General features: G+C 43.7%; 2 protein-coding genes and 1 long non-coding RNA gene across 13 annotated transcripts in view, besides 1 other annotated feature; 1 reads left to right on the top strand and 2 right to left on the bottom strand.

Annotated features, from left to right (window-relative positions):
* SLC1A2 (solute carrier family 1 member 2) overlaps nucleotides 1-13,588 on the bottom strand; it is a 169,303-nt gene extending 155,715 nt beyond the window's left edge. For 2 of the 8 annotated variants that reach the window (NM_001439342.1, NM_001195728.3), the window contains exon 1: nucleotides 13,017-13,139. In NM_001439342.1, coding sequence (NP_001426271.1) covers nucleotides 13,017-13,021 — 5 coding nt within the window. In that variant the 5' untranslated portion in view covers nucleotides 13,022-13,139. Of the gene's footprint in view, nucleotides 1-12,030; nucleotides 12,640-12,988; nucleotides 13,140-13,567 lie in introns of those variants that run through there. The other 6 variants (NM_001439341.1, NM_001252652.2, NM_001439343.1 and 3 more) reach the window with 4 other exon arrangements.
* Nucleotides 12,138-14,083, top strand: SLC1A2-AS2 (SLC1A2 antisense RNA 2). Its single transcript, NR_186310.1, has 2 exons — nucleotides 12,138-12,188; nucleotides 13,617-14,083. It is a non-coding gene; the product is annotated as an SLC1A2 antisense RNA 2 (long non-coding RNA).
* Nucleotides 12,285-12,785: an enhancer, noted in NCBI's record as "H3K27ac hESC enhancer chr11:35440751-35441251 (GRCh37/hg19 assembly coordinates)". NCBI's record gives its function as "activates a minimal SCP1, AML or CMV promoter by ChIP-STARR-seq in primed H9 embryonic stem cells {active_cell/tissue: H9 hESC(primed)}" and the evidence as "EXISTENCE:reporter gene assay evidence [ECO:0000049][PMID:30033119]".
* The window catches only part of PAMR1 (peptidase domain containing associated with muscle regeneration 1), a 98,474-nt gene continuing 95,465 nt past the window's right edge, over nucleotides 24,908-27,916 (bottom strand). For all 4 annotated transcript variants that reach the window (NM_001282675.2, NM_001282676.2, NM_001001991.3 and 1 more), the window contains 2 exons: nucleotides 27,593-27,885; nucleotides 24,908-25,973 (listed from right to left, as the gene is read on the bottom strand). In NM_001282675.2, coding sequence (NP_001269604.1) covers nucleotides 25,437-25,973; nucleotides 27,593-27,885 — 830 coding nt within the window. In that variant the 3' untranslated portion in view covers nucleotides 24,908-25,436. The remainder of the gene's footprint in view (nucleotides 25,974-27,592; nucleotides 27,886-27,916) is intronic.

A 27,916-nucleotide genomic window follows, 5' to 3' on the forward strand; every position in this document is an offset into this window, starting at 1 on the left:
AGGAAGTGATTTAAAGGGAATGCAGAGCCCAAGAGGAGATTGGGATTAAAACTGGGTCCAATAAAATTTTCACAAACTATGCAAGAGCATAAATGATGAAGGGTTAAGGGAAGAAAGAGAAGAATTCCAACTAGGGAGACTTAGAAAGGACTTAAAAGGTAAATCTTAAAAAAAAAAAAAACAGCAAGCACTACTAAAATACATCCAACTCTAGCTTGCTGACTAATGAGGCTATAGAAGTAAGGACAAGCTGGCTGCCCCATCTGTCACTCTACAGATGACCAGGGTTGATCATGTGGACTTGACCATCTAGGCAGGCAGCCATTTCCTCCCTGTCCCTTCTGAGTAGTGCTCCCCTATACTGTGGGATCAGTCTCACAGAGGCACCCTGCTCTTCCTGCAGGAACCCCCAAAGTGAGCAATGAATTAGCCTCAGGTTCTAACTCTTTCCTTCATCAGTATCTTCCACGGATAATTCAAGACCTCCTCTTCATTAATCAAGCCCTTCCCTTAGCAGATGAACAGGCTTATAGCACACCTGGCCTAAAACTAAAACAACCCAACATATAATCCTGCTCTTGCCTTATCTGCTTTCCTAGTACCATCTACCTCTTGACTACCATTTATGGAAAAAAATAATTTGCATTCATTTTCTCTCCACCCATTCTCAACCCACACCAACATGGCAACAGCTGCCATCACTTTGCTGACCCAGCTCTGGCAAAGGCCAATGATGGCCTTGAAATTGACTAATCCAATGAGTACTTTTCAGTCCTTCCACGATTTGACCTCTCCATAGCATGCAGCACTGTCGGCCACTTCAAGTCACCTGCTCACTCTTGACTCCCTTCCTTACTTCTCAGCACCCTGCACCCCGCACCCCGTGAATCACCTCCCTCTGCCCATCTTCAGATACTAGAGCTTCCCAGGATGCTTCTCTTAGCCCAGTTCTTTTCTCTAGCTTCATGCTGTGTGCGGGTGAGCTCCCTTACATCTGTAATACAAATAGCACTCCATAAAGGCCCCGGCCTGTCATGACTCTAACTGCCCAGTGAACATCTCTACTGATATTCCACTCGCCACAAATGCTAAGCCAGTATGCTGAACCAAATTCACTGTCTTCTTCAAATTTAATTTCTCTCCTGAATTCCTTTTTCTGCACTTACCTCGCCCCCATTTGCTTAATCTAGAAGGCTGAGAGATGGCTTTAAGCCCTTCCACCTGCTCACACCTACTTGCACTTGGTCACCAAGTCCTTCTAAATATCCTTGGAATCTGGTAACCTATGCTCATTTCTATACCTTAATTCAGGTCATAATCTCCCACCTAAACTATTGCTGCCATCTTCTAACTAGTCTCAGTGCCTCATCCCCCTTGATATGGTTTGGCTGTGTCCCCACCCAAATCTCAACTTGAATTGTATCTCCCAGAATTCCCATGTGCTGTGGGAGGGACCCAGAGGGAGGTAATTGAATCATGGGGCCAGTCTTTCCCATGGTATTCTCGTGGTAGTGAATAAGTCTCACAAGATCTGATGGGTTTATCAGGGGTTTCCACTTTTGCTTCTTCATCATTTTTCTCTTGCTGCCGCCATGTAAGAAATGCCTTTCACCTCTCGCCATGAATCGGAGGCCTCCTCAGCCATGTGGAACTGTAAGTCCAATTAAACCTCTTTTTATTCCCAGTTTCAGGTATGCCGGGTATATTTAAGGGTTTTGCTTTTATTGTTAATAAAGCCATGTTTTTGTGTGATGGGGAAGGAGCCACTGGTCCAGAGGACAAAAGGGTAAAAGTTTTTGTTAAAAATAATTTATCTGACAGTGAATAGTGAATCATTCACACTCTTTTATTTGGCTGTTACATTCTATGTGCAAAAATGTATTTCCTAAATGTAGATTGAATGTAATCAGTGACATCTTTACCCATAAACTGGAAATATGCATAATATCGATCTGCCATGGTAAATAACAGATTTGTAACTATTAAAAACAGGTAAGGAAAGAAAAGCAAGGCAATTTCCAATGAGATTTGGTTGGCTTGCTCTACCTTCTGTTGCTCTACAATTGAGTCACTGGAATTAATTTGTTGTGCTGATAAAAACACAAACACAATGATAATCAATGTCTTGGTCTCAGAAAGCAGAGTCAACTGATGCAAGAAAATAAGGGAAAACACTCACGAAGATATAATTTGCAAGACCTTGGGTTGTGTGTACAAAAGTGTTCTTTCACCTCTGAACATATCTTAATATTTGCCAGTGGAATAGAACAGAGAAATGTCAACATATACGTACCTTTGGCTTGAAGTTGACAGACTACCTGACTTCTTGAATCAACAGAACAATGCAGTGGATATTCCAGAAAGGATTTACCTAATTCATTGTTCACTTTTCCCCAGGTAAGGACTCCATGGGAAATAACACTTGCAGGAGTGTGAAAATGGCTGCTGTCAACACTGAAAATGTCAATAATAGCTATACTCTTGTTCCCAATATATTTATTTATTATTCCTTCTGACCCCTTCCATTATACTCACCACTCTAGATAGAAATTAGATTAATGTAACTAATTTCTCTCTCTATAGCAGGACTTTCAGATAACCATCTTTCCATTGGACATGGCACCCTTGGAAGGACTGGAATGAAGAGAAGGGCTTCTCTCTTATGTACTTGGTGACTATGTGAGACACAGCTAAAGCTGAGGAAGATGGCTAGGCATGGTGGTTCACGCCTATAATCTCAGCACTTTGGGAGGCCTAGGCGGATGGATTACCTGAGGTCAGGAGTTCAAGACCAGCCTGGCCAATATGGTGAAATCCTATCTCTACTAAAAATACAAAAATTAGCCAGGCATCGTGGTGCGTACCTGTAAACCCAGCTACTCAAGAGGCTGAGGCAGGAGAATCACTGGAACCCAGGAGGTGGAAGCTGCAGTGAGCCGAGATCATGCCACTGCACTCCAGCCTAAGTGACAGAGCAAGGCTCTGTCTCAAAAACAAATAAATAAATAAACAAATAAATAAACCTAAGGAAGATGATGACCTTGAATTCTCCCCAGCCTGCCCATCAGAATCCACTTTCCCTGTCTTAAAGGGCAGACAAAAAAAAATGACTATTTCTGGAGAACAGGATTGGGGCCGGAGATAGTCTTTTACTTTTTTACTGTATGCCATTTTGTAATATTTGAGGTTTTTATTTTTTAAGATAGAGCTTTATTTAGTTCCTTATTTATTTCTAACAAAAAAAATAGTATGTATTTGTGGTATACAACATGATGCTTTGATATACACATACACTGTGGAATAAAATAAATCAAGCTAATTAATGTATCCATTATTTTACATACTTATCATTTTTTGGTGGTGAGAATACTTAAAATCTACTGTTCTCCCAATTTTCAAGTACACAGTCAATTGCTGTCAACTATAGTCACCATGCTGAACAATAGATCACTTAATGTTATTCCTCCTGACTACCTGAAATTTTGTATCACTTGACCAGCAAGGTATAGCATTTTATTACAGATGATAGCTTTGTGGACGCCTGGATATTCTGATCACAAGCAACCAGACTCATTATTTTATTATCTTTCTAACATTTGAATTTGGAAACAGTGGTGGATGCTGTGACATGCTACCCAGATCCCTTTCCCCCCACATTCAGGACTGAATGATTCATTTGCCCAGCTGCTGGGCATGTTGATAAGTGACAGCTCTTAACTATATTCCCCCCAACCCCAAGCCTTGCCCTGTACCGAGGGCCATGTCCCGTTCCAGCACAGCCCCATTCAATGGCTGGTTAATGCAGGAGTAGAAAGGCCAAATCTCTTTCCTCAATTCAGGATCATTCTGAAGGGCCATCCCTGTTCCAGAGCTCCTTGTGGGTGGGCAGGCTTTGGTGCGACTGTTTCAACCTCTCCCTCTGCCTACCCTGGCTTCCCTCATTCCTTCATAAGGATTTACGCTGAAAGCTCCTCCCAATAAATTCCATGCACACAAGTCTCCATCTCAGAATCTGCTTCCTGGGACCAACCAATGACACCTCAACCCCAGTGTATCAATACCTGTGAAAAGAATCTAAAGTTCAATGCTCTCAGACTAATAGATAATGAGTTCTACATTTGAAATGTTAGCAATTAATTATGACCTAAAAATCAATAATCCTTCAAATGCTAAGATTCTATGATGATTTTATAAATATCTGCTGATTGATGGGATTGAGTTCCAGAAAAATCCTGGGAAAATAGATTCAGTCTATAATTCCATTACTCTCTAATCTATTCTTAGAAATTAGCCCAATATTTATTCTTCACACCTTTTCTAGACCATATGTTGCATATAAATAGAAAAAATGATAGCTGAACCAATTCCCCAGGTACCATCAGCCACTTTAGAATGTCTGAGATGTGTGTTGTTGGTTGATAACCATCCATTTCACTCTTGAACAAGTTTGTTTAATTGGGTTTTGTTCATGTTGATGTCCATCCACTTTCCTAAGAAATCTATCAGATTCCAACTGTTCTTTCTTAATTAATTTTTTTAGAGACAGGATCTTGCTATGTTGCCCAGGTTGGAGTGCAGTGGTTATTCACAGGCATTGTTATAGCTAGCTCACTGCAGCCCCCAACTCCCACGCTCAAGAGATCCTCTCGCCTCAGCCTCCCGAATAGCTAGGACTACAGGTGCACACCACTATGCCCAGCCCAACTGTCCTTTTAAGTAAAGATTGAGATTAAACACAATCTGCAGCAGTTAGCTTTCCATGATATCTAAGAGAGAAGAATGATTTTCTTCTTTTCTCTGTTTTCTTTTACCTATCTCCCTTCATGTACTACTACTTCTTCCATTTGAAATTATCTTGTTTGACATCTACAAATAGGTTTGACAATCATTTTCAATTAACTAAACTTATTCTCACTTTTTTATGGTGACATTTTCTTTTGAATGGCACATCTCCACTCAAAGAATAACTTCTTTCTGTAATAGTTGCTGTCCTTCTTAAGGCATTGCCTCTTAAATTCTTTAAGATTCTTTAAGAATTTAAGATTCTTACATTATTTTTTCTTCAGAGACACTAGGTTATCTTGCTTTCTTTGAATGAAATTATTGAAGACACTTACTGGAGCAAAAAAAAAAAACAAAACAAAAATAAAAAGCAAAGGAAGGATCCATGAAATTTTAAGGAAATGTGGATTAATTGCAAAATATGGATAATACAAAACACAGTACAATTAGATGACAAAAAAAACCTAAAAACTCAGTAACAGCATAAAATCAAAACTTCTCTAAGTTCCAGTTTTTTCATCTCTAAAATGAGATAATATTCCCTAGGGGATTTTCAAGGATGAAATGAAGTCATATATATATAGCCACATAAGCTTGGCTGATCCTATTTATATTTGTTTATGGTGATATGGAACACTGTAGATATATGTCAATTGCCTCACTCTTACCAAATTCTATACTTGGTGGAGAAAGCTTTTATAATCAAAAGAGAATGAAATGCCATGGGAATTGGGATTCCCTAAGGATTGAAGGGCTTCCAAAGGGAGTCAGACCACCAGTGTGGACAAAGTGCTGACATTTACTGCCATCTGTTGGGTGATGAGCAAACTGTCCCACTCTTTAAAACACAGAAATACGCCTCTGAAAGATTTCTTCCTCAATTCAAAAGGCATCCTTAGCTCATCACTGTTTGCATCTGCTATGAAATAAATATCAGCCCCACTCCTAGAGGGACAAGACCAGTCGCTGTTTCAGTAAAGAGCGTAAGTTAAGTCGCAACCCTAAACAGCCACACCTGAAGGCTGCAAAAGAAAACATAAATTCCAGGGCCTGCTATAAGCTCAGCTACATTTGCCACTACAAAGCACATACCCAAGGCTCAATTCAATATCCCAAAGGTTGGGACCCATGTGGTCATGCCCTGGGCTCTTTCAAAGCACTGCCTCTAGACCAGACAACGCTATTGGCTTCCTGACTACCAAACCAATAATTACAAAAGACCTCTCCATTATGTACAACCCAGACCAAAGTTAAAGAAAATAACAAGAAGTGCTTTGGGGGGTGGGGGGAAAGGTAGCTTGAAAGATCTTTTTTTTTACATAGAAATGAGATTTTGAATAATTCTTCAAATCCAAAACCACTAGGCAATGGTGTATACCAAGAGAATGGTACGCACGCTTTCAATCTCTCAATAACTTCCTTGGAAAGGTAAGGGGTCAGGCAGGTAACATGAGAAAAGTAGTCTCAGAACAGACTGTGCCCAACCTGAAAGGCATATGCCCTATCTCAGGAGATGGCCATTCCTCAGCCCCAGTTAACCCCTGCCCTGCTGGACTAAGAGGTATGGCCTAGTAACTACAGGCATGGATCCCAGAGCCAGGATGCTTGGTTTGAAAGCCTAGCTTTGCCACTCACTGGCTGTAAAATCTTGGGCAATTCACCTACTCTTTCTGTGCCTCAGTTTCTATACCTGTAAAATGAGGCTAAGAGTCACTCCTGCTGCATCATATTGTTGTGGGGATTAAATAAATTGATACACATTAAACTGTTTAAAGCCAACTGGGATATAATCACTCAATAAATGGTACCAAGATAAAAGGGAAGGTTCTTTGTCATCAGATCTCCCAATTTTTAAGAGAAGCCAGAATCAGGATTTTTTTTAAGGTAAAAGTAAGTATAGGTGAACAATTAAAACATGTTCAAAATCCTCTGTGAGCCTATAAGAATATACCCATGGGCCACATACAGTCCACAGGCACCCAGTACCTCATGTCCAGTGCTGGGAAAAAGGCAAAGCGGGAGGCAGACAGGTCTCAGATTCACTTCCAACTTCGTCACCAGCTCTGTGATCCTGACAGCACAGTGGCTGGGAACTTGGGATGGCAGAACCACATGACAGAAAGTCCTGTGCCAGATTACAAACAGCAAGTGACAGATGGCCCTCCTGACCAAACGTAAGAGAAGAAAGTACTCTCAGTGATTTAAGTGAAGCCTCTAAAATAGAGGGGGGCATGGGGACAGCATCTCCCTCCTTGACCCCAAACATCATTCAAGGTCTTTAACATTGCCATCATCTATCCTAGAGACCAGGATTGACACAGATCAAGTCTAGCCATCAAATCGAGTTCATTCCCTTCATTCCATTTTCAAAGGACAATTCTTGCTCAGTGAGTCCATATTCTAAAGCAACTGTCGAGATTGCCAAAAACACCAAACAGCAGTTCAGCCAACAGTGGTCATATCTGTTTATCTAAGTGAGACATTAAATACATGAATGAAAAATAAATAAATATCAACACCATTGAGAAACAATACTTTTTAAAAGAAAAACCAGAGCACTAAGAAAATGGGTCTTCTTTTTAAAATTTTAAAGATCTTCCTTTCATTCTCCTTTAATACTGCGGGCCCATTGTCTTTTCTGACATCATTTAAAGCCAACCAGACAGATTTATAATGAGATGCTAGTCCTTTTCTATTCTACCGACAAATATGTGGCCCATCTGCCTCCAGTCAATGATGGAGCACTTGAAGATGGAGCAAAGAGATATTTTTAAACATTCCTTTAATTAATTCGTTCCAAGGAGTTGGCACTTGGAGAGTTGCGGGGTGAGGGGCGGGCAGAGGGAGGAGAGAGCAAGCTCATGATCGTGGTAAATAAAGAGATTTGCCATAATCTGGATTCTAAAACCCTTTCTATGAAGCATCCTGCCTGGCCCCCAACAAGCTGTTAAGGGCATGAAATCAAAAGCTGCAAGCAAGGCAGTGTCTGGTGTTTGTTAGATGTTTCTTCAGACTGCGAAGACAAGTTCTTTAAATGCAAGCAAAACTAAAATTTTATCTTCAGAATAATGCTTCTGCCTACTATTCCTAGAAGATTTAATACTATCAGTGTTTTAGTAGATTAAAATAATTGTAGCAGGCGACTGAAATGAAGAATAGTTTCAGCTCATGCCAAGAGGCAAGCCAGTCCAATGGGAGAAAAATTCAATATGAGAAACAATTCAGTTTGCCTTTAAAAGGGGGGAAACCAGACATCAGGGCATTGTGTGACACAGCCATGGAGGAGGGCAGGGAGGGGAGGATTTACATTGAAATCACTCTGTGTTGAGCTTCAAATCATGAAAAAGCTTTGCAATTCTGGAACTGTAGGATTTATGGCACACTGACCCAGAAATCTCACACTTAGCTGTTAAATATATTGCTCGTTTTTTGCAGCTGAAGCATCATCACTTAAGGACTTTTCCTTGTCTGACACATCCTTTAAAGCCAAAGCCAAAGGAGACACAAAACACCTAATTGTGTTGCATGGAAGAGGAAAAGAAGTGGCCATTGATACTGATGAACAGATTTGTCTTTTGGTTTTTAATAACATGGAGTTTCTGCCTCACAAGTTTCATCTGGATTTAGAAATTATTTCCTGAGAATTAAGCTTTCAATTACTCACAAGCGACTGTCTTAGTAAACATGAAATGGTTTTCTCATAGCTCTACTAATATCTATTTTCCCCAAGGAGGCTGATTTCTATATTATTGAAAATGAGAAATGAAAATTCCAGCCAAGCCTGAGGCATGCAACCTGCAAACCCCTCTAGACCATAAGCCCCACATCCTTCACTCACTTTCCAATAAGTCCACGCTGTAGGGTCTTCCTCCTGCTGACCTCAAATTCATTCCCAAGGGGAGAAGCAAGAGGACAATGGTTATGGTTTGCTTTTATTTGCTTGAAATAATAAATTCAAGGGGTCTCCCTTGCCAGGGTTTTTCCACTGTCAGCAGTTTTCTGTTTCCCTTGCTCTTTAAGTCAAACTGAAGCCCAAGCCCTCATGGCTGGCTTTCCCCTGACCCTTGGCTCCTGGGAGCTGATCAGAAGACAGATTGCCGTGGGTCTCTGACATACAGAGTGACCTAGCCACCCCCCACCTCCAAGAAGATATTTCTAAAATGCCTGCCTCTTCAGCATCTGGACACTCCACTGTGACCCAGTCAGTAATGGACACTAGCCTGGCTGCCACCAACTACTTATAATCTCTTTCCAATTTGGGTCAGGGACCTAAAAGCCATCTCCGTAATTCTAGCCATGACAGGGGACTCAGAAAAAAGAATGCTCAACTATTAAATTAGACCTTGCTTTGCAGGAAAATACCTCTCAGAGCCTGGGAACTACCAAAGAGTCCACTATTGATTTTTATAGAAACTGGATGCTAATAATCTCAATTCCAAATAATCAAAGCCCTCAAAAAACCAGACTGTGGTGGCATATGCTCTGTACAGGCAAAGATCAATGCACAGGTTACAAAGAGAATATCCTAAAAGGCAATTTGCAGGATAGGTATGCCAAAAGTTTGAGAGAAAGCCAGTAATCTGCACCAGCCATGCCCAGCACACATCATTTTCAGATGATAACCCCAAAGCTTTGCCAAGTCTTGGAATCTTTCTGAAAAGATGGTATTCCCTATATATAATTTTATCCTTAAAGTCTATTTTTGTTGGACTGCCTACTTCACAGAGTTACTGGAAGAATCAAATGTGATGAGGTACACGAATGAGCTTTGAAAGTGAAGTGTTAAACAAACATAAGATGTCATTATTGCTTCTAATAATTCTTTAGAAATTGGTAATTAACATGTTCTGCGGCTGATAATTACATCACCAAATAAATGTGAACCAGAATGGTCAGTTTCCCATATTATCCTATTCCCCAAACATTCTGGATCAAACAAAGTTGAACTGAAAATATATAAATTGAAAGCATATAACTATATTGCTATTTTTGCTTCCTTCTCAGTAATGTATGTTTCAAGGAAACAATTTCAATATTGTTAGAGGGCAAAAGCTAACAAAGGAGACAGCCTGAGGAGTCTTAGTAAATTTTTCTTTACAAGGCACATTAACCAAAGATGTTAGAAGTTGCAAGAGATCTCATGAGTCCACGTGAACAATTTACTAATAAAAATCCTTGACTGGATGGAGCTAGACTTCTAAAAGGCAAATCCCAGACTATTTCTGTATCCCCCCAACTCGGAGTTCCTCACATGTGAGTTCCACTCAACAAGTGCTCAGTAAATGCTCCTGCAAGAAAAGAAGAGAAGAAGAAAGGAAAGACCAGGGCTTCTGAGAATGTCACCTGCTCATCAGTTACTGCTGTTAAATAATAATGGGTCATAGATCCTATATTTGTTTCCCAGCCGTTCAACTTTTTTCAATTCTTTCTTCTCTTAAATATAAGTTCCTCTGATGAATCTTTTCTTAACCATAAACAGTGCAGAAAGATGGGATTAATTGGATGGGAATCTTTCTAAAATGCCGAAAATCACTTTGGCTCTACATTGAATGTCACATCATTTGACAGCTTTCATTTAGGACAAAGGTGAAATAAACTTACTTAGTTTGGGGTTGTTGTTGTAACCTCTCCTTCTCTATCTGGCCATCAAAATAGGGAGTGAGCTGGATGCAGGATTTGGAAGACTAATATCATCCATCTTTTTCACAGATGTTTTCCACCCTAGCCTTTACAAGCAAGGATAAGTCTAGAAGGTCCATGAAGGCAACCAGAAATTCTTTCATATCTTTTCTAATATAAAAGCCTTTTTAACTAAACATGGTAAGACACTGATCTTGATCCATATGGGCTCCTAGTATCTATTTCTAGAGATCTGTTTTAGCACAAGGTACCACCCTCCTTGTACACAGGTGTCTTCCTGAAACATCTTTTTGGAGAAATAATAATCAAAAAAGTCTAAACTGCAAAATAGGGCAAAGGGAGAGACAAAATTTCATGCAATGACAAGATGCCAGATGCCTTTGGAAGGACTCTGGGGGACAGAAAATGAATGAATTCCTTCTCCTGGACAGAGAGACAGTTCTAGAAATATTTTCCTTCTATTGGAGATTGCAGTCTAGAGATCTGGCTTTGGATACCAGCTCTTCAGCCTGTTTAGAGATCCATTCCCCTAAAACAAGCCTGCGGAGTTGGTAAAATTTCTTAGGAGAAACTGGAAAATGCCAACACCACCACTTGAGCCCAGAGAAGCCCCTGATATTTGCTTTTCACATAACATGGATTTTGTGATCGCTTGCAAGTGAGTAACTGCAATTTTGGGAATTAACCAAAGGGCTGAGCTGCCCAGTCTTTTCATTGCCACTCAGGTTCTACGAAGCCCAAAAAGTTTTCTGGGAGATACTGGTCCAAGGACTCTGTGGACCTTTCCTTTGATGTGTGAGTATTCAAAGAATCCTTTTGCCCCCTGCAGCCCCTTCTGTCTCTTGCTAAAGACAATTGTCTTTAGTTATCACTGCGAGGGAGCTTTCCCCATGCCAGCTGGAATCTTGGGAGGCAGGACACGACTCCAGATCCTCGGGCTGAATAGGGAAGCCAATGCTATCCCTGCCCGCTGGAGTCTGGCGACTCCTGCCCTTGTCCCAAACCACACGTTTTCCCGCCTCCCGGGAAGCACCCAAATCTCTTCCACCCTTCCTTAGAGCTAGCCAGGGAGATTCCGCCTTCCAGGGACAAGGACCGATCGGAGCGGGCCCAGCATCTCCATGGCGACTCTGCAAACCTGGCGTTCAAGGCCGCGCGCGCTGGTCCTTGCCCCGCCCCAGGGCCCTGTCTTGGCTCATTCCTTCCGAGCCGGCACCACCTGCAAGCCCGCCTCGGGCCTGGGGCGCCGCGCTCCAGGCGCTGCTACCCCGGTGTCTGCTCACACTATGCCCAATCCCCTATTGTTTTGAAATCCCAAAAGTAACCTCAAGAGGATTTCTTCCTCACACTCTCAGGCCCCCAGCGCACCTTACCCTTTTTATCAAAATAAAACAACCCTCCACCTCTCGCATTTTCAAAGGATTAAGCAGCAATCTCCAGGAAAGAAAATCAATCCCCTCCCCACCATCCCATCCCCAGCCAAGCTACGGCTCCGCCACCACCTCCGAGGCCCGCCGCCGCCGCCTCTCTATCCGCATCCCGGATAGGGGCGCCACCACCCCGCGCGTGACCCCGCTTTCCCGCGGGTACAGATAAAAATCCCCTCACCCTTCCGTAGATGCCATGGTCTGGGGAACGCCCCCTCCTCTTCAGCACTATCCGGCAGCTGTGGGCGAGGGAGAAAGCGGACGCCGGGGTGAGCGCGAAGTGCGGCCGGGAGCGGTATTTAAGAGGAGCCTCTGCCCGCCCTTCCACCCGCCTCCGGGGTAAGCCCTTTAGCGCCTCAACGGGCGCAGGAGGCTCCTGCGGGCGCTAATCCGCGTCCCGGCTCTCCACGGCGCGCGACCCGCGCTCCCCTCCGCCCGCGGGGATGGCGCTTGGCGGGGAGCTCCGGGGGCTCCGAGGGTGGCTTCCCCGAGAGAGCGATGCGCCCAGGGCTGCAGGAGGGCGCACGCCGGCGATGCGCCCCTGCAGCCGCTGCCACCTGTGCTTTGCTGCGGGGCTCGCGGGCGCGGCGAGTGGCGGGAGCAGAGAGTGGTGGCAGAGGACGGTGAGCGTGCGTGCGCGTGTGCGGGTGTGTGCGCGCCTGGGGAGGCGGTGGAGGCCGCTGCGCTCTGGCTCGGCGCCGGCCAGGGAGGGATTGCAAGGTTTAGCCCCGCCGGAGCTGGGGATTTGCAGGCGATCCCTCTCTATTTTCGTCGAGAGCTGACATCACCCGCGCCGCCGCCTCGGGCAACTCCTTTAACCGCCGCCCCCCGCCCCCATCTCCAGTCGCGGTCCCTCCTCTGCCATCCCTCCCCCCAGCCTCTCGCCATAAATTAGCCAAATAAGAAAAGAGGCCCCGCCGCTCGTCCGGGAAGGCTTGGGCAGCCGGTGGCAGGAGCCCAGGATCTAAGGAGTAGCTATTGTTTCCCCTGAAGCCCGCGTGGCCCCAGGTCACCCCGTGCGGGGTGAAGCGCAGGCGACCGCGCGGAGACCCGGGATGCCCCTCCGTCTCCGCCTCCCTGGAGCAGCCCCTGGCGCTCCCTCCTCACTCCCCGGAGCACCCGCTTCAGCTCACACTCACCCCCAAACTCACAGGCAGGCACACCCACCCCATCCTCCCACGTCTGGGGGTCCCAGGTCCAGCGGAGTCGAGCGGCTGAAACACGCGGGTGGTGCAGCCTAAACGCGGCCCAGCTGCGCTCCCTCCCCCGCCGAAGCTCGAATAAATCTCTGGCCTTCAATTATTCAGCGAGATTAATATTAATGCAGCTCCCTGGGGGCGGCGGGCGGGGTGCAGGGGAGGCCGGGATTTTTTTTTTTTTTTTTTAGGCCGAGAGAGGTCGGCCTCGTGGGTGCCGGCTGAGAAGGCGCGGAGAGTTGGCCGAGGGGTGAGTGGCGGGGGACGGTTCTCCACCCACTCGGCGCTGCTCGCCGCCTGCTTCCGTGTCCCGGGGGCGGCGCACAGAGACAGATGGGCTTGTGCAAGGGAGAGTTCGAGCCTTCCGGACGCCTTTGCATAAAAATGACGAGACCTGTGCAGCTTTGATTATCTCTGGAATACTGCAGGAACCTAGGGTCCCACTACTTGCCGACCCTGTGAGCGCAGAGCAGGCAAAGCCTCACTTTCCTCGTCTAGGCAATGGAACCCAAAAGAACTCACTTGGAGGGCCACAGGAGAATTAAACAGACTCTCTTTTTCCCCGGGGTAGACGATCTTCGGATTTGCGCTGTGCTGGACCTTGTTAGACGATGGAACGCGACCGGCCACGTGCAAACTCTCTGAGTAGGTCCCGGGGATGGTGCCAGAGGAGCCGGAGTCCCAGCAGGACCGATTGGTAGTTAAATGCCAGGCGCTGATATCCGAAGGCTTGAGTTCTTCACCACCTTCTAGCTGAGTAACCTGGGGCAAATTCCTCCATCTCTCTCTTCATCCCACCTGTAAAATGGGACTATCTTCTCCCACTTCTCTGTGCTAAGAGAACTAAATGAAATGGAGAGGATATGTAAAACTCCTAAAGTGGCGTCTGGCACCCAGTAAACCCTCCAAAAATATTCAGTGCATTTTCAGAGTCCTTAGAAGATAGTTTATTGGACAAAATATCCAAGTATGAACAGACAGATGAGAAAAATAACAAGAAAAAGAGGGGAAAACACATTAATAAAATTTAAAAAATAAATCTCTGCTTACCTCCTTCCTTTACTCTCCTTTCCAAAATCTGAATCCAAACGTCATCTTCCATCCATGCCTTTCTCCATCTCTCCCCTCCCCCCTTCTCTCTCAATCCTGTCTGCACCATTAGAATAATCATGTCTGTACCTTATTCATCCTAGGTTCCTTCAGAACCACTCTAACTTTGCATTTTCTTTATTTAAAAAAAAATGCCATAAGCATCTCTTCGTCTTAGGGCATTTGACTTTGGGTACTCTTCTCTTCCGAAAAATTAGTTATTGTTTAACCTGGTAAATGTGTTTAAAAATAATTTGTAGATGAAGAGCTATCTTCTTTCACTTTGGTATTATGTTTGACACTCTCCTCTTAAGCCCCGTCAAGGGTAAGTGTGTGTCTTTGTATCTGAAGTTGTCACATATACAAACTTTACAGTCTAATTGTCTAACTTTACAAGTTAGGGTTTTCTATTTCCCTTTCTGCTGAGGTGGCAACTGGAAAAGAAGCCATCACAATCTGTCCCAGACCTAGATATTAATAATCGCAGGAGCACTAGTCTGCTATTAGCACCCCCCTTAACATGAGCATGAATGAACTACTCCATCACAATCCCTCAATCTCTGCACACAGGCTTCAGGGGCTGAGCTGTGCCATTCATTCACGCTCACTGCCAAGAGCAAGGTACCTGGTGGTACATAAATACAAGGTAAAAGGAAACAGAAAAAGGGATGGAGTTGTTTTCACTCTTTTAAACATTCAATTTAAAAACTCTTCATTATGTTTTCAATGCTCAGGACATGAGAGAATCCAGGTGAATCATCCAGCATGGCCGAATTAGATGGAGTCATCATTCCAGTTTCCCACTTTCTCTGTAAGCCCTGACATCCCGTTCTACACGTGAGAAACATTTGCATTCAGCTGCCCTGGAAGACCAGGTCTATTAAGTCACATGGACTATGCCACAGATAATTCTGGCTAACAAACATTAGCTAGAAGAAACTGGTTCTCTTTCTTTGTGCCAGAGGGCTTTTGCCAATATTCACACCAATTATTTTTTAACAAACTGGAGCAGTTATTTTCAACACTGGGTGCCCATTAAAATGGTCTGAGAGAGCCTTTTAGAAAATAGTAATACTCAGGCCACCTTTCAGAGATTTCTGGTCCATGCATCTTTGGGGTTAGGCGGGGGCTGACTTGGGCATTTTTAAAGGACTTCCCCAGGTGATTGAGTCCACTGCGCAGCCAGAGTTGGGAAGTGCTGGACTAGAAGTGGTTCAACAACATAGAGAAGGGTCTGGAAACAGGGCCCCAAGAAGTAGTTGGAGCATGGTACATTTAGCCTTCAGAAAGAAATTGCTAGAATACAGGGCTGATCCTCTTGCCTTTAAATACAGGGAATAAAAAACTTTCCAGGCAAACAAACACTTGTATGTTATTCTAGGTAACCAATGTGAGCAGCTACAAAAACATAGAGTTTTCTTCTTATGTTGTGCACTCACAGAGCATTAGGGGTTAGCTACTGTACAACCACGTGACCATGCCGAATAAAAACTCAGCTCTGGGTCAGACAATCCTGCCTTAAATACTATCCCCGCCAAGTATTAGACTCTGTGTTACCTTATTCTGGGCACAGGATCTTAGCTTCCTCATCCCCAAACTGGAGAAGATAATAATGATCATCATCAGGGTTGTTGTGATGATTAAATAGAATATGTGGGAAATGCTTACATCTTTTTCATGCTCAATAGAGAACCATCCTAGACACATGGGAACAGCAGCATTCACCCAGTGTAATTTACAGCTGAGCTGTCTTGAGAACCTAGCCTCCCTACCTACCGTGTGACCCCAGGGTCTCCTTTTAATCTGCACGGCAAACTACAAGTCTCTTAGCCGGCAATAAGTTGACAGAACCTTGGAAGAAGAACAGAACAAGGCCGACCCCACAAGCTGCATGAACACTTTGGAATTTGCTGGCATCTCTCAGTCTCCTCTAGGGACCCCATAGTCATGGCAAAAGCAGAAGACTGACATTTACATATAGATTTACCTTTCTTAAGTCTAGCTGATGGGTTCTCAAACTTCAATGTCAATAAGAACTACTCTGCAGGACTGGATACAAGAAAATCAACTGTACCATATTCTGATAGGTGATGTAAGGGATTTTTTAAAATGAATTTTGATTATAAGGGTTTTTTTCTTTTTTGCCTTATTGATTCTTGACTGAAAACTTAACCCAAGTTCCCAGAAGTGAGTTACTATAGTTGAGTTAAGGTAGTGTGTGAGCTAGAACTTTGTGGTAGTTATATGAGCTTAGCATTTCCTTAGTAATTCCTATATGCATAATGTACTGCACCTTATATATTGTACTTTGATTCTTAAGATGACCTTCTGCAGAAAATATTATTAAACCACCATTTTACAGAGGAGAAAACTGAGACCAAGAGGAATTAAGGAATTTGCCCAAGGTTATACAGTCAGTGGTTGTATTTGTCGGAGTCCCAGCTTAAAAAAAAAAAAAGATGGCATATTTAAATTAAGTAAATTGTGATAAGTTTAATAAAGGAGTCATTTAGAAGGGTGTGGGAGGGGGTAGGAAAACTCTAAGGGATAGGGCAGACTCCCTGGGCTACTAACAGTAGGGAACAATTGCCCATCCTAAGCCAAAAGGAGAGTACCAGGACCCAGAGGAGAGTTCTGCATGCAGAAGGCCACTTGACAGAAGCTGAGACTGTGGCCATAGCAGTCTGCTGGAAGGGGGTCTGGGAATAAATACCCCAATGCACACTTTCCTCCAGTCCTTCTTTTCCTTCCAGGGCTCTATACTGGCCAAAGCCAGATGGAAGCTGGAGGGCAGGAGAGTCCACTGAAACAATTCACATGCAGTCCTTGCAGTCCAACCTCCCTGAGAAACAGAGGATGGAGAAGGGTGAAGAATGGCTGTACAGGGCTAATGGATGAAGCCAGGGTTTGAGTTTAAGCAGTCTTCCTGCAGAATCTCGCTTTTTAACCTCTCTGCTATGCAACTTGGAGTGAGGATGTTATACTTGTTGGAACAGGTAGCCCCCATAACATGTGGGACCTCTCTACTGTGGGGTTTTCCAGCAGATAAATAGACTTGGTCAGACTATTTACTAGAAATCAGAAGAAGGTATATTTATACTATGGGAGAAGTCACAATATGGCCTCAAATTTTTCAGTCCTAAATGCTACAATTCTCAACATTCTTTGGCAATTATTGTAGGAGCTTAGTTGGACCAAAGAAGAGAAAAAGATTCCCTTATATTGGGCTCTTGTAAGGGATTCATCCCCTGTCTTGGCTCTCCTGCAGAATGCTTCAGATTGGTCATTGCAGCTCCACATAAGGGAGGTTGGGTGGGAGGGAACTCCTAATATAGAAAAGAAAAAAAAAAGTCCTACATTGCTTTCCCATGAAAGGCTGCTGAATAAACCATTCCCCCTCATGATGACAATAAAGGAGAAATGTTTCAATGTTCAAAGTTTATCAGAAGAAAGTAACCTAGAGAGAGAAATAACAGCCAAGTGACCCAAGGGTTAGCCACTCAAAAGTCGCTGTCATTTAGTAACGTCCCAGAAATATGAATTTGACTTTTCCCCCCAAGTGCAGTTACTGTTTCATCTGCTTTGCTTTTTAAGATTATTGATGCTTTCCAAAACTTAGTAATGAGAAAACTATCCACCATCAGCTCGTTAGGTGGGGCATTCATATTTGTGGTTCTTTGCAAAGTCAGAACCACTCTGGGAACAGATTTGTCCTTACAGACTTTCCACACAGCTGTTCTTGGTAAAGTAAATCTAGGCTTTGGAGTTGAGCAGGCCTGTATTCAAATCCCAGTTTCTCCGCAAGTGACATTGAGTGGGTCACCTGATCTCTTTGAGCCTAAACTCCCTCCTCTGCAAAATGGAAATAATTCTTGTAGCTTCAAAAATTATATATATAAAGCAGATATCACAGGTCCTGGCATGTAGCGTGAATACACTGTGTGAATACAATGTCCTCTGCCTCCCTAAATAACCAAGGAATTATAAGCTGTGTGTCTGGATCTGTCTTTAACACTTTGACCCAATCATTAACTATAAGACTAGATACCTTAATGTTTTTTTTAATTAAGTAAAACAGAGGACACAGTAAGGGCTCCTTCATATGACAACTAATACGAGTTTGCTAGTTTTCAAAAATATGAGCTATTTTAGGATGAATGAAAAACATGAATGAAAATTATTATATAGTGTTCCAATTTCAGAGGAAAGATACTATTCTCTGACAGTGTTGGTTCTGAAGCCAAGAGCATGAAAGAGAGAAACGGGAGAATCCTGAAACTAAATTGGAAATGAAAAGATTTCAGAAAGATAAGTGGGCTTAGAGCAATAAGTAGCAGGAGGAGAATGTTCACAGTGGCACCACCAGGACTTTGAACTAAGAATGCTAATGTGGCCACAGAAGTTATAACAGTCTTCTGAATTAGACCGACCTGGGAACCATCCATCTTGACCATGTTTGGAGCAGTGAGATTCAAATTGAGTTTATCATTCTTTCTTTCCATTTTGAGTGACCTTGAGTAAGTTACTTAACCCTCTGAGCATCAGTGGGTATAGTAGTGAACCCATCCACTGGGCTCATATGAGAACTGAATGAGGCTATGTCACATAAAGCACTTAGCACAGTTCCTGGCACACTGAGCTGTTATCATCTTCATGATGTCAGCTTCCTAGCTGCTGGCACTCTCATCACCCAAAAGATCAGTGGTAATGCTTTGGTTTCAACAACACAGTACAGCTACAGATGAGCCAGCCTGTAGCCCTGTCAGTCTGGTGGTGGTCACTGAATAGAGACTCAAGGGAATCATCCATCTTAAGGGTGTTTGGAGCTGTAAGATACAAGCTGAGTTCATTCACTCTTCTTGTTAACACACATTAGCAAAAGAGAAGTCAGGGAGTTCTATTTTTACCTCACTCTCTTAGCTGATGAGAAAAAAGATATTACTTCACAGAAATCTCAATTCAGACTGAGAGCTTGGTCTAAATATAATCCATTCTGCAGGCAGAAATCGTCTCATTAGGTAGAGGGCTCGGGAAGGCTGAAACAGTGGATAGCCATGCTTACTGCCTGATGAATTCTAACGGAAAGAGTGTGAATTCATCCCGTTTGTTTAGTATAGATGAAGAAAGGAGACAATGGAAAAAGATGAATTGTGAGTTCTCAGTATATCATTCCCTCCGTCAGCATTTCTTCTACAAGATGACTTGAGGCTAAATGTCAGGGGTAGTGCAAATTCTTTATGCCCACCATAAAAACCATAACATTTTGAATTAGAGCAACTGTCTCTTTTTTTAGCTGCTTGATCCTGTATGAAGTGGAAATACTCTTTGAGAGTGATTACTGCTATTTTAATTTCTACCCCTAGTTTCTCTTAACCTTGGCAATGATTGCCAGTAATGCCTCCATCTTCCCCTTCCCTTTGTTCTGCTGGGACATTACAATATTCAGTAGTGACAGCCTCATGAGGAGCAAAAGAATGGAGAGATTTTTTGTATCTTTGGGGGGATTTCTTTGCTGAACAGCAGCTCACTGTGATTAAATGCTAAGTGATTTGGATAAAGGACTGAATCAAGGACCCAAGCCAGAATCTGATGACCTCAGAAAATCCAGCAATGTTATTCTTGTTCTATTTTCTCTGTTCGCTTCTTTATGAAATTCCTTGGTCATTCTGAAAAAGGCTGTGTATCACATCCCAAAAGTATTTTTCTTATAAAGTGATTTTCCTTAATAAGAGAAAGAGAGAGATAGCAACCAGGTAATTTAGTTTTAAATTGAGATTACAGATTCAGAGTTGTTGGTTTTTTTTAATCAAAGACTAAACGACTAAATTATGCCTTTGCATAACTGCAGTGAATTGGAAGTTATCCCAGTTCACTCTGAGGTTTCATTTTATTAGCACCTGGACACAGCTTCATTTGTAACACCCTGTTCCCCTTTCAATGGAAAATAAACAACTTTTCCTGAATTGCACATATTTAAGCACTAAGAAAGATCATTCTTTCCTTCTCTCTTGTGTGGAATTACTTTTTCCTAGAAACCATAAGTTCAGGAACATAACAGTGGTTCGTTTTTCTCCAAGAATTCAGTCTTGAATGTATTCCTCACCTGAGAAAGCTATTCTCTAATTTTATCTACTGACTTTTTTTTTCTTTGTTGACAAAGCTCTCCATCAAACCTCTTCCAAGCCTCTGGATAAACACTCAGTGAATTGGAATACAAACGTGAAGTGAGCCCTAAAAAACTCAGCCATTGAGACAGTCTTCTTAAAATGCTGGGCCTCAACAGCACATCCGGGCAGAGCTCTGCCAGGGAAAGCAAGTCCTGCTGCCAAGAAAAGCAAGGAGAGACCACAAATTGCTACCAAGCTACTCCAAAATGTTCTTTCCAACAGCCCTGAAAAGATAAACTTCCCCAAGCCCTAGGGATCCAAAGTATTTCACTCAAAATTTTCATAGCATACTAAAGAAGGAGAAAAAATAAGGCAGGAGTAAAGATATGTGTCTTACTCCTTTGGCTCATCCATTAGCTGTCAGCTTTCTTCTTTTAACTCATCTGATATCATTTAAGATAATTCTCTGTTAGAACAACATGCAGTTGTGTCAATGCAATGAGACTCAAGGTCTTCATTCATGTCCAGGTTAGGACAACATAAAAACCCAAATTCAGGCCAGGCATGGTGGCTCACGCCTGTAATCCTAGCACTTTGGGAGGCCAAGGCAGGCAGATTGCCTGAGTTCGGGAGTTTGAGACCAAATAGGTAATTATTCAACCCTCACTCCCAGCCCCTTTTGGAGTCCCCGGTGTTTATTATTTCATACTATCATAAAGTCAAAAAGTCATAAGTCAAGCCATTGTAATTGTAATATACATATATATTATATATACGTATATATTATATATATAGTCAATGCCTTCCAGCCAAAGACCACTAGAAACATACCTGTAATTGAACAAGTGGGATTTTTTTGCTCCTTGCAATGAGGTAGGATGCACATCATGGTGAACCAAGGGGTGCCTCATCAAGAGTGTGTTAGAAAGGACTTACAGGATTTGAGTTTCTGTTAAGTGATCTTAGGTTTCAAAGTGGGGCTTTGTTCTGGATTGGATGCTGTCAGGAAGTGGGAGTAATTCTATAATTGGCCATGTAATAAATCTTATCTAAAAGGAAAAAAGACTATAAAGAGCCTACCGCTGTAATTGATGAAGAAGCAGCAGTCACTCATATTAACGAGGAGAAGGGGATATTTGGCACCTTTGTAGTTTGCATAGTCACCTTGCTTTTGTCTGTTATTACAGAAGATATGAAGTGGTCTTGTTTGGGTCTTGATCCATCAAAGTCACAGAATAATTCTGACAGATATTGGCATTCTGTGAAAGTATTTATCTTCAACAAGAGAGCATCGCAGTCTCATTGGGAGTGCCAGATCAACTCCTGGGCACCAAAGCCCAGCTGGTATAATGTCAGATGTCAGGGGCTACATGGATACCTAAAAAAACAAGCAATCATCACGAAAGAAATCAGAACCAAAGTACTCTGGATGAAACAGGAGCCTTCTCTGGCACTCCCTGAAGGTGTCCTCAGTTGACAGCCACTTTTCCAGCATTAGTATTCCATAATTTGTGACTGCTTTGTTCTGTGTCAACTTAGGGAAACTGAAACTAGGTTGCAGAATTCCCTTCCCTGTATGGTTCCAGGTTAGAGTGAACACAAGAGAAATTGACGTGAGATTTGGAAAGGAGAGGGAAGCAATGCCTACTTTCATGCTTTGAGATTTGTTTGAGCACGTCAGACACTGTGGCAGCTCACACGTAATGTCACTATCTGTCAGCTCATCTTGTTGGGGTGAGAAAGCACCCAGGCCCACAGCTCCTCCAATGCCTGCTGGAAATCCTCCTCTGGCTTCCCTGAGTTCGGACTGGGTGAGTGTGCAGCTATGAGCAAAGGGCACCTGATTCTACTACAAGTCACTCACATCATGGAGGCTGGAGGCAGCAAGAGACAAACACAGTTTTCCATTTGTCCTTGCTTTGCTGACTTCACATCCAGCTTTCCTTCCTGACCACTGGCCTGATTGATTTTAGGTCCAACACCAGAAACAAAGGCAACAGTCTTGCACAGACTTCTCCATCAGTGGCCACAATTTTGTGTGTTTATCGTAATCCCTTATTCCATAGGACTGTTAAAAGTTCTGATTCTCTGAAAAGCCCCTGACTTATATATGCTCAAGATTTCTAGCTTTGGAGTTCTATGCTGGGAGGCAAGGGCTATGTTACAAAAAGAGATGGACAACATTCCGATAGCAGCCAGATATGGCCAAGGGACAAGCTTGTGTGTGATCCTCTTTGCCTGCCTCAAAGTCTTAGGTGAGTGTGATCGAGTGTTCATAGCCCACAAGAGCAGTGCTAAGGTAGGAAGATCCAGGGGTGGTGGCAAATGGCCACGGAGCTATTAACCAAGCAGCCTGGGATGTCATTACCAAAATTTCAGGCCAGATTCAGCTTCTGAAGGGGCCAGAGTCATAGCTAAGATGATGTACATGTGAACCAAATCTGAGTAGGAAGGCAAGAAGAGAAAATAACACAAGTAGTAAAGAGAGCGTTAAAAAGAAGTAGAGAACATGATATTCCAGGCAGAGGGTCAGGACACAGTCAGGAGATGGAGGCTGTGGGCACGTATGTGTGGAGTGCCTACCGAGGCAGTTGTGGAGCTGTGCCTAGCTGAAGAGCCCTGACCCTGCCAGGTATACCATGTATTATGTTCGTTGCCTTACACAACATCTCACTTAATTGTCACAGCTACCACAGTAAAATCTCAAGATTTTATTATGCCAATTTACCAGATAATGAAGCTGAGGTAGAGAAGCTTAGTACTTGCCCAAAATCACTTTAGAAAAGAAGTTAAACCATCATTCTCTGTAAACTATCGCAAGAACAAAAAACCAAACACCGCATATTCTCACTCATAGGTGGGAATTGAACAATGAGATCACATGGACACAGGAAGGGGAACATCACACTCTGGGGACTGTTGTGGGGTGGGGGGAGGGGGGAGGGATAGCATTGGGAGATATACCTAATGCTAGATGACGAGTTAGTGGGTGCAGCACACCAGCATGGCACATGTATACGTATGTAACTAACCTGCACAATGTGCACATGTACCCTAAAACTTAAAGTATAATAATAAATAAATAAATAAATAAATAAATAAAAAGAAGTTAAAAGACAGGAATTTGAATTCAGATCTATCTCTTTGATCCAAGTTCCATTACACCTTTTAAGATCCAAGCTTTCTAGGCTTAACAAAGAAAAACCTTTGAGTGACCTGATAAATATTTATAGAATCAAATCCTCCAGCCTCCGTCAAGGCTCCGGTTGATGACAACCTCAGGTTAAGCTGCTCACCAATTCCTGACCCACTGACACTGTGAGAGAATAAACACTTACCATTTAAGCCACTAAGTGATGGGTAATTTGTACTCAACCATTGATAACTAATGCATCGCTCTTTGATTAAGCCAGGAGGATGGGCATGGATGGTTGAATGAAAGGAGGAGGATGTGACTTATGGAAAGCCCCAGGAAAGGCTGACAAAAAGAGAAAGTAGAAGAAATTCTCTTCTGGCTCAAGACCCAGACATGGTGGGGGAGACAGGTTGGGAAACAAATAAAATCCTCACCTCCTGTCTTGGGCTAAAGTCCTTAAGTTTTCTGAGATAGATTAAGGGAACAGGGGAGTTCCTGTTTGGGTCTACATAAGGCAAATGTCTCCCAGAATGCTCGGTAACAAGCCTGGGCTCTCAGCTGTCATGTGGTATGGAAAAGACCTAGAAGTTCCCCCAATCCCCCAAAGGAGGAAAAGGAGGTTGCAGAGAGTCTGGCTGGGCAGTTGCCAGAGAAGGTTGTCACTGTGGCCATGAGGCTGGGTGACCCAGACAAGGGTCAAACAGGAGTCACCACCAGATGCCAGGAGGACCAGTTCCAGCAAGAGATGAGGGGCCGAGTCTGCAGGAAGGAGTGCTGGGCTCCATGAAATAGAGAACATAGCACAAGTTAAACTAATTACAGACTCTAGCACTAAATGTCAGCAACAAAAAGACCCACCACACACACCCAAGAACCAGCAGGAACTCGGGGGTCCCCAATCTCATCCCAATGCTTGAGGAAAGGTAAGCCTCCAAAGCACCAGCCTAGTGAAGAGAAAACTGGCGAGGAGAGCAGGGGAGAAAGGATAAAAGAGTAAGTCACCCCAAAAAGAGGGTCACTGCCAAGATTACTTAAGGTGTCTGACTAGACTGAATTCATGTTCTTTCCTTCACTATCCGGTGGGAGGTGAGGGTGAGGCTTGAGAGAAAAATCACATAAGTTATAGACAACAGTGAAGCTACAGTTTCTTGGCATATCTAAACTTAGTGTGAGTAAATATGTGACTCCAATTCAGATGCTATAAAAGCATTCCATGAAGATTTATGGAGGTTCAAAGCAGGACTTTGTGTTGGATCTAGAAGACAAGAAGCAGAGGCAACCCCAAAAATCATCTAATCTCTGGTGTTTCTGTTTGTGCCTTATCGGAGGGTACCCATGTCCCTCCTCCCCTGGCCCATGACCCACCGAGCTCTGAGAGTTGGTATTAAAAAGATGGTATTGGGTTTGTCAAACACACCATTTGGGAATGATAGCCCTTGGCACTATTTTAAAGGGCTATCACCAAGCCATCAGCCCTGATACATGTAGCTCTGAGAAACAGTGTGCAGAAATAAGAGCATAGCACATTTGTTTTGTAGTTCAGAAGCCAACCCTTATTTTATTAAAATGTGTACAAGAGATGGGGAAGGAAAAGGACCAGACTGTACTGTGGCCATGTACACAAAGGCATGCACCACATCCCAGCTCTGCTGCCCTGGGCTGTCCCACAGGCAGCTCTCTAGAACTTGAGAGCCTCAAAAGGGGCCTCATGAAGCCCAGATCTTCCCTGGTCAAGCTGATGGCATTCGTATAACTGAAAGTTGGGGAAGACCACCAGGTCAGTGGAGTGGAGAGGTTTTGTATATGGTCTTCTTTGAAGAAACTTACTTCTTGCAAGCCCTGGCATCTTCCAATTGGCTGTCCTAGTAGTGGACGCGGCATCAGCCTACCAGCAATGGAGGTCTACTCACCCTTCACTGAGTTTTGTCCCTGAAGTCAGAAGCCCTGGCACAGCCAAGTTCACAGGCCAAATCACACTTCAGGCCCACACTGCTTCACGCAATGACACACGTACAGACGGATATACAGAAACACTTCTCAAGGAGTGCATGAGCATGGTTCATTTCATATTTCTTTCAATCCAGTCTTTAAAAGGCAGCACCTTGGTGAAGGCAGTGGAGAGCCTGTGGCTGCATGTTTTATCATAGCTCCAGCTGACCAGTCCCATCAGATGCCAGCGTGGCTCAGGAGATGCTCGTCCCGGGAAGGACACAGCCGCGATGCCTCCTGTCTCTGCAGTGCAGATATCAGAAGGGGCAGTGGGTTCCCAGCTGGCACAGAACATGTTATCAGTGACACTCACTGGGATGCCATGGTCCTCATGCTGCTCCTCACACAGCAGCGAGTCCACCACACTGACCACCCCAGAGCGCAGTGTGTCGTTCTTGAAGCCAGGGCTCCTCACGTCTGCCAGGACATTCCAGCCAGCCACAGTGATGTGGGACTCCTGGAAGGAAGTGCTGAGATCCCGACTGGCAGCGAGGCAGATGGGCTGGACTCGGGTGCTGATACGGGCCTTGTCTAGGAGCTTCAGGATGGCGATGTCAGCATCAAGCAGGATGGGGTCATAGTTGGGATGCAGAATGATAGCAGAAATCTACAAATGCAAGGAATGGGCAGCAATGGTGAGGAGCCAGCTCCACAGTGGATAAGAACAGACAAGGCTTGGAGCTAAATTTTTGGGAGAAAATGTCTAAGAGGCAGCTACAATTATTTGGAGATACTTCACTCAAGAAATCATGGAAAACAACTACTCTACTTCCAGAATTGCAAACTAAAGTGCTTTCTAGGGCCTGGAAGGTGGGATTAAATAAGTGAAGTGGACAGTTGAGGCTGCATGCCCATCTAAGGTGGGCAGTGGCCACATCACTGCAGTCAGCCACTCCATGCTGAAATGGGACCAGCATTCTAGTTTTGCCAGAAAATGAATTCCAAATCTTTATCTGAAATATCTTGATGTTAAACAAACAATGCTTGCAAATAAATAAATGATTAAAAATATGTTTCAGCACCATCAAGGCACAAACCCTCACAGGCTAAGTTTTCAACCTCTGGTCCACTGTAAACATTTCATTTACATTCAAGCCAGTAAATAGAGCTATGCTCAGAATATTCCACAAGACTTTTCCACAAAGTCTTCCCTGATTTTCCCAGTCCTTGCTGGTCATGCCTTTTGATGGGAGCCTGTAGGAGCACACATCTTGTAAAATGTTTATGTATATGTTCTATTACCTCAATCTCCTTTGAGTATATTGCCTTGGGGCTTCTCTTGTGTCACATTGATTATGATACATTGGTCTATCTCTCCCACTCAACTGTGGACTTTTCAGAGAAAATAAAACGTGCTCTATTCTTTTCTGTGTCTACTTACAGTGAAAGGCACATTGTGGGGGCTTAACAATAGATGGACAGGTAGGTGGATAGATGGAGAGATGGATGGATGGATGGATGGATGGATGGATGGATGGATGGATAGACGGATGGATGGATCGATGGCTGGATGGATGGATAGATGGAGGGATGGAGGGATGGATGGATGGATGGATGGATGAGGGGATGGATAGATGGAGGGATGGATGAAAAGATAGATGGATAGACAGATGGGTGGGGGAATAAAAGACAGGGAGGGAGTCAGGGAAAGACAGACATATATTGTAAATTTGTTAAGAGTATATCTAGGGTAAAACATCTCTGTCTACCTAGGACAGTGCCCAAATGTAATAGGTGATTAACCTTTTTTTATTCAAAAAGTATTTATTGATAATCTACTTTGAGCCAGGCACTGTGCCACACTGTGAGGGTACAATGACAAATCACAACATTCATGGAGCTAACGGTTTCAGGCAGAGCCAGCCATTAAACAAATAATTTCACTAATTTTTAATTTGTTAATTTATGACATATCCTACCAGGTAACATGTGCTACTAGGAGAAGTACATTTTACTCTTAGGTGATTAACTTTTGATGACCACAGTGATAGATGCCTTTGCCTCTATCTTATTTAAAAAATAATCAAGGTGGAAAAAAGACTCCACAGCCTTTCTAGGTACCCCCATCTAGTATCTCAATATGAAATAATGAACGCTGCTATATGCGAGGCTCTGGGCTGGCTGCTGACATGCTAAGGGGACAGAGCTTGGTATAATCACTGCTCTCCCGTGCTTGGAGTTTTTTTGAGCCAGAGCCCCAGCTTCCAAGTGCAAGCCCTCTCTTACCTGTAGGCTCTGGATGGTCTTCTCATCCCGGTCATCATCCCGGTAGAATTTCCCCAAAACAACTTTCAGGTCTGCTGTCTTGATCATGGTGACCTTCCCCAGGTCAGTAACACAGTGGGCAGCCACCACCACAGTGCGCTCATTCACCAGGGCACCGCTGCAGACTAGGAACCACGCTCCCTTGTGTAGGCTGCCGTCATGCACCCCGCTGGTCCTCCTGTAGATGGCTGCCTGCCACGGCCAGCGCAACCCTTGGGTCTTTGGAGCAGTGATGTTCTCAATTTTCCCGCAGACTATGGAGAAAGTACCAGCTTAGTAAGATAA

Source organism: Homo sapiens, chromosome 11, assembly GCF_000001405.40.
Source record: "Homo sapiens chromosome 11, GRCh38.p14 Primary Assembly".
Classification (NCBI taxonomy): domain Eukaryota; kingdom Metazoa; phylum Chordata; class Mammalia; order Primates; family Hominidae; genus Homo; species Homo sapiens.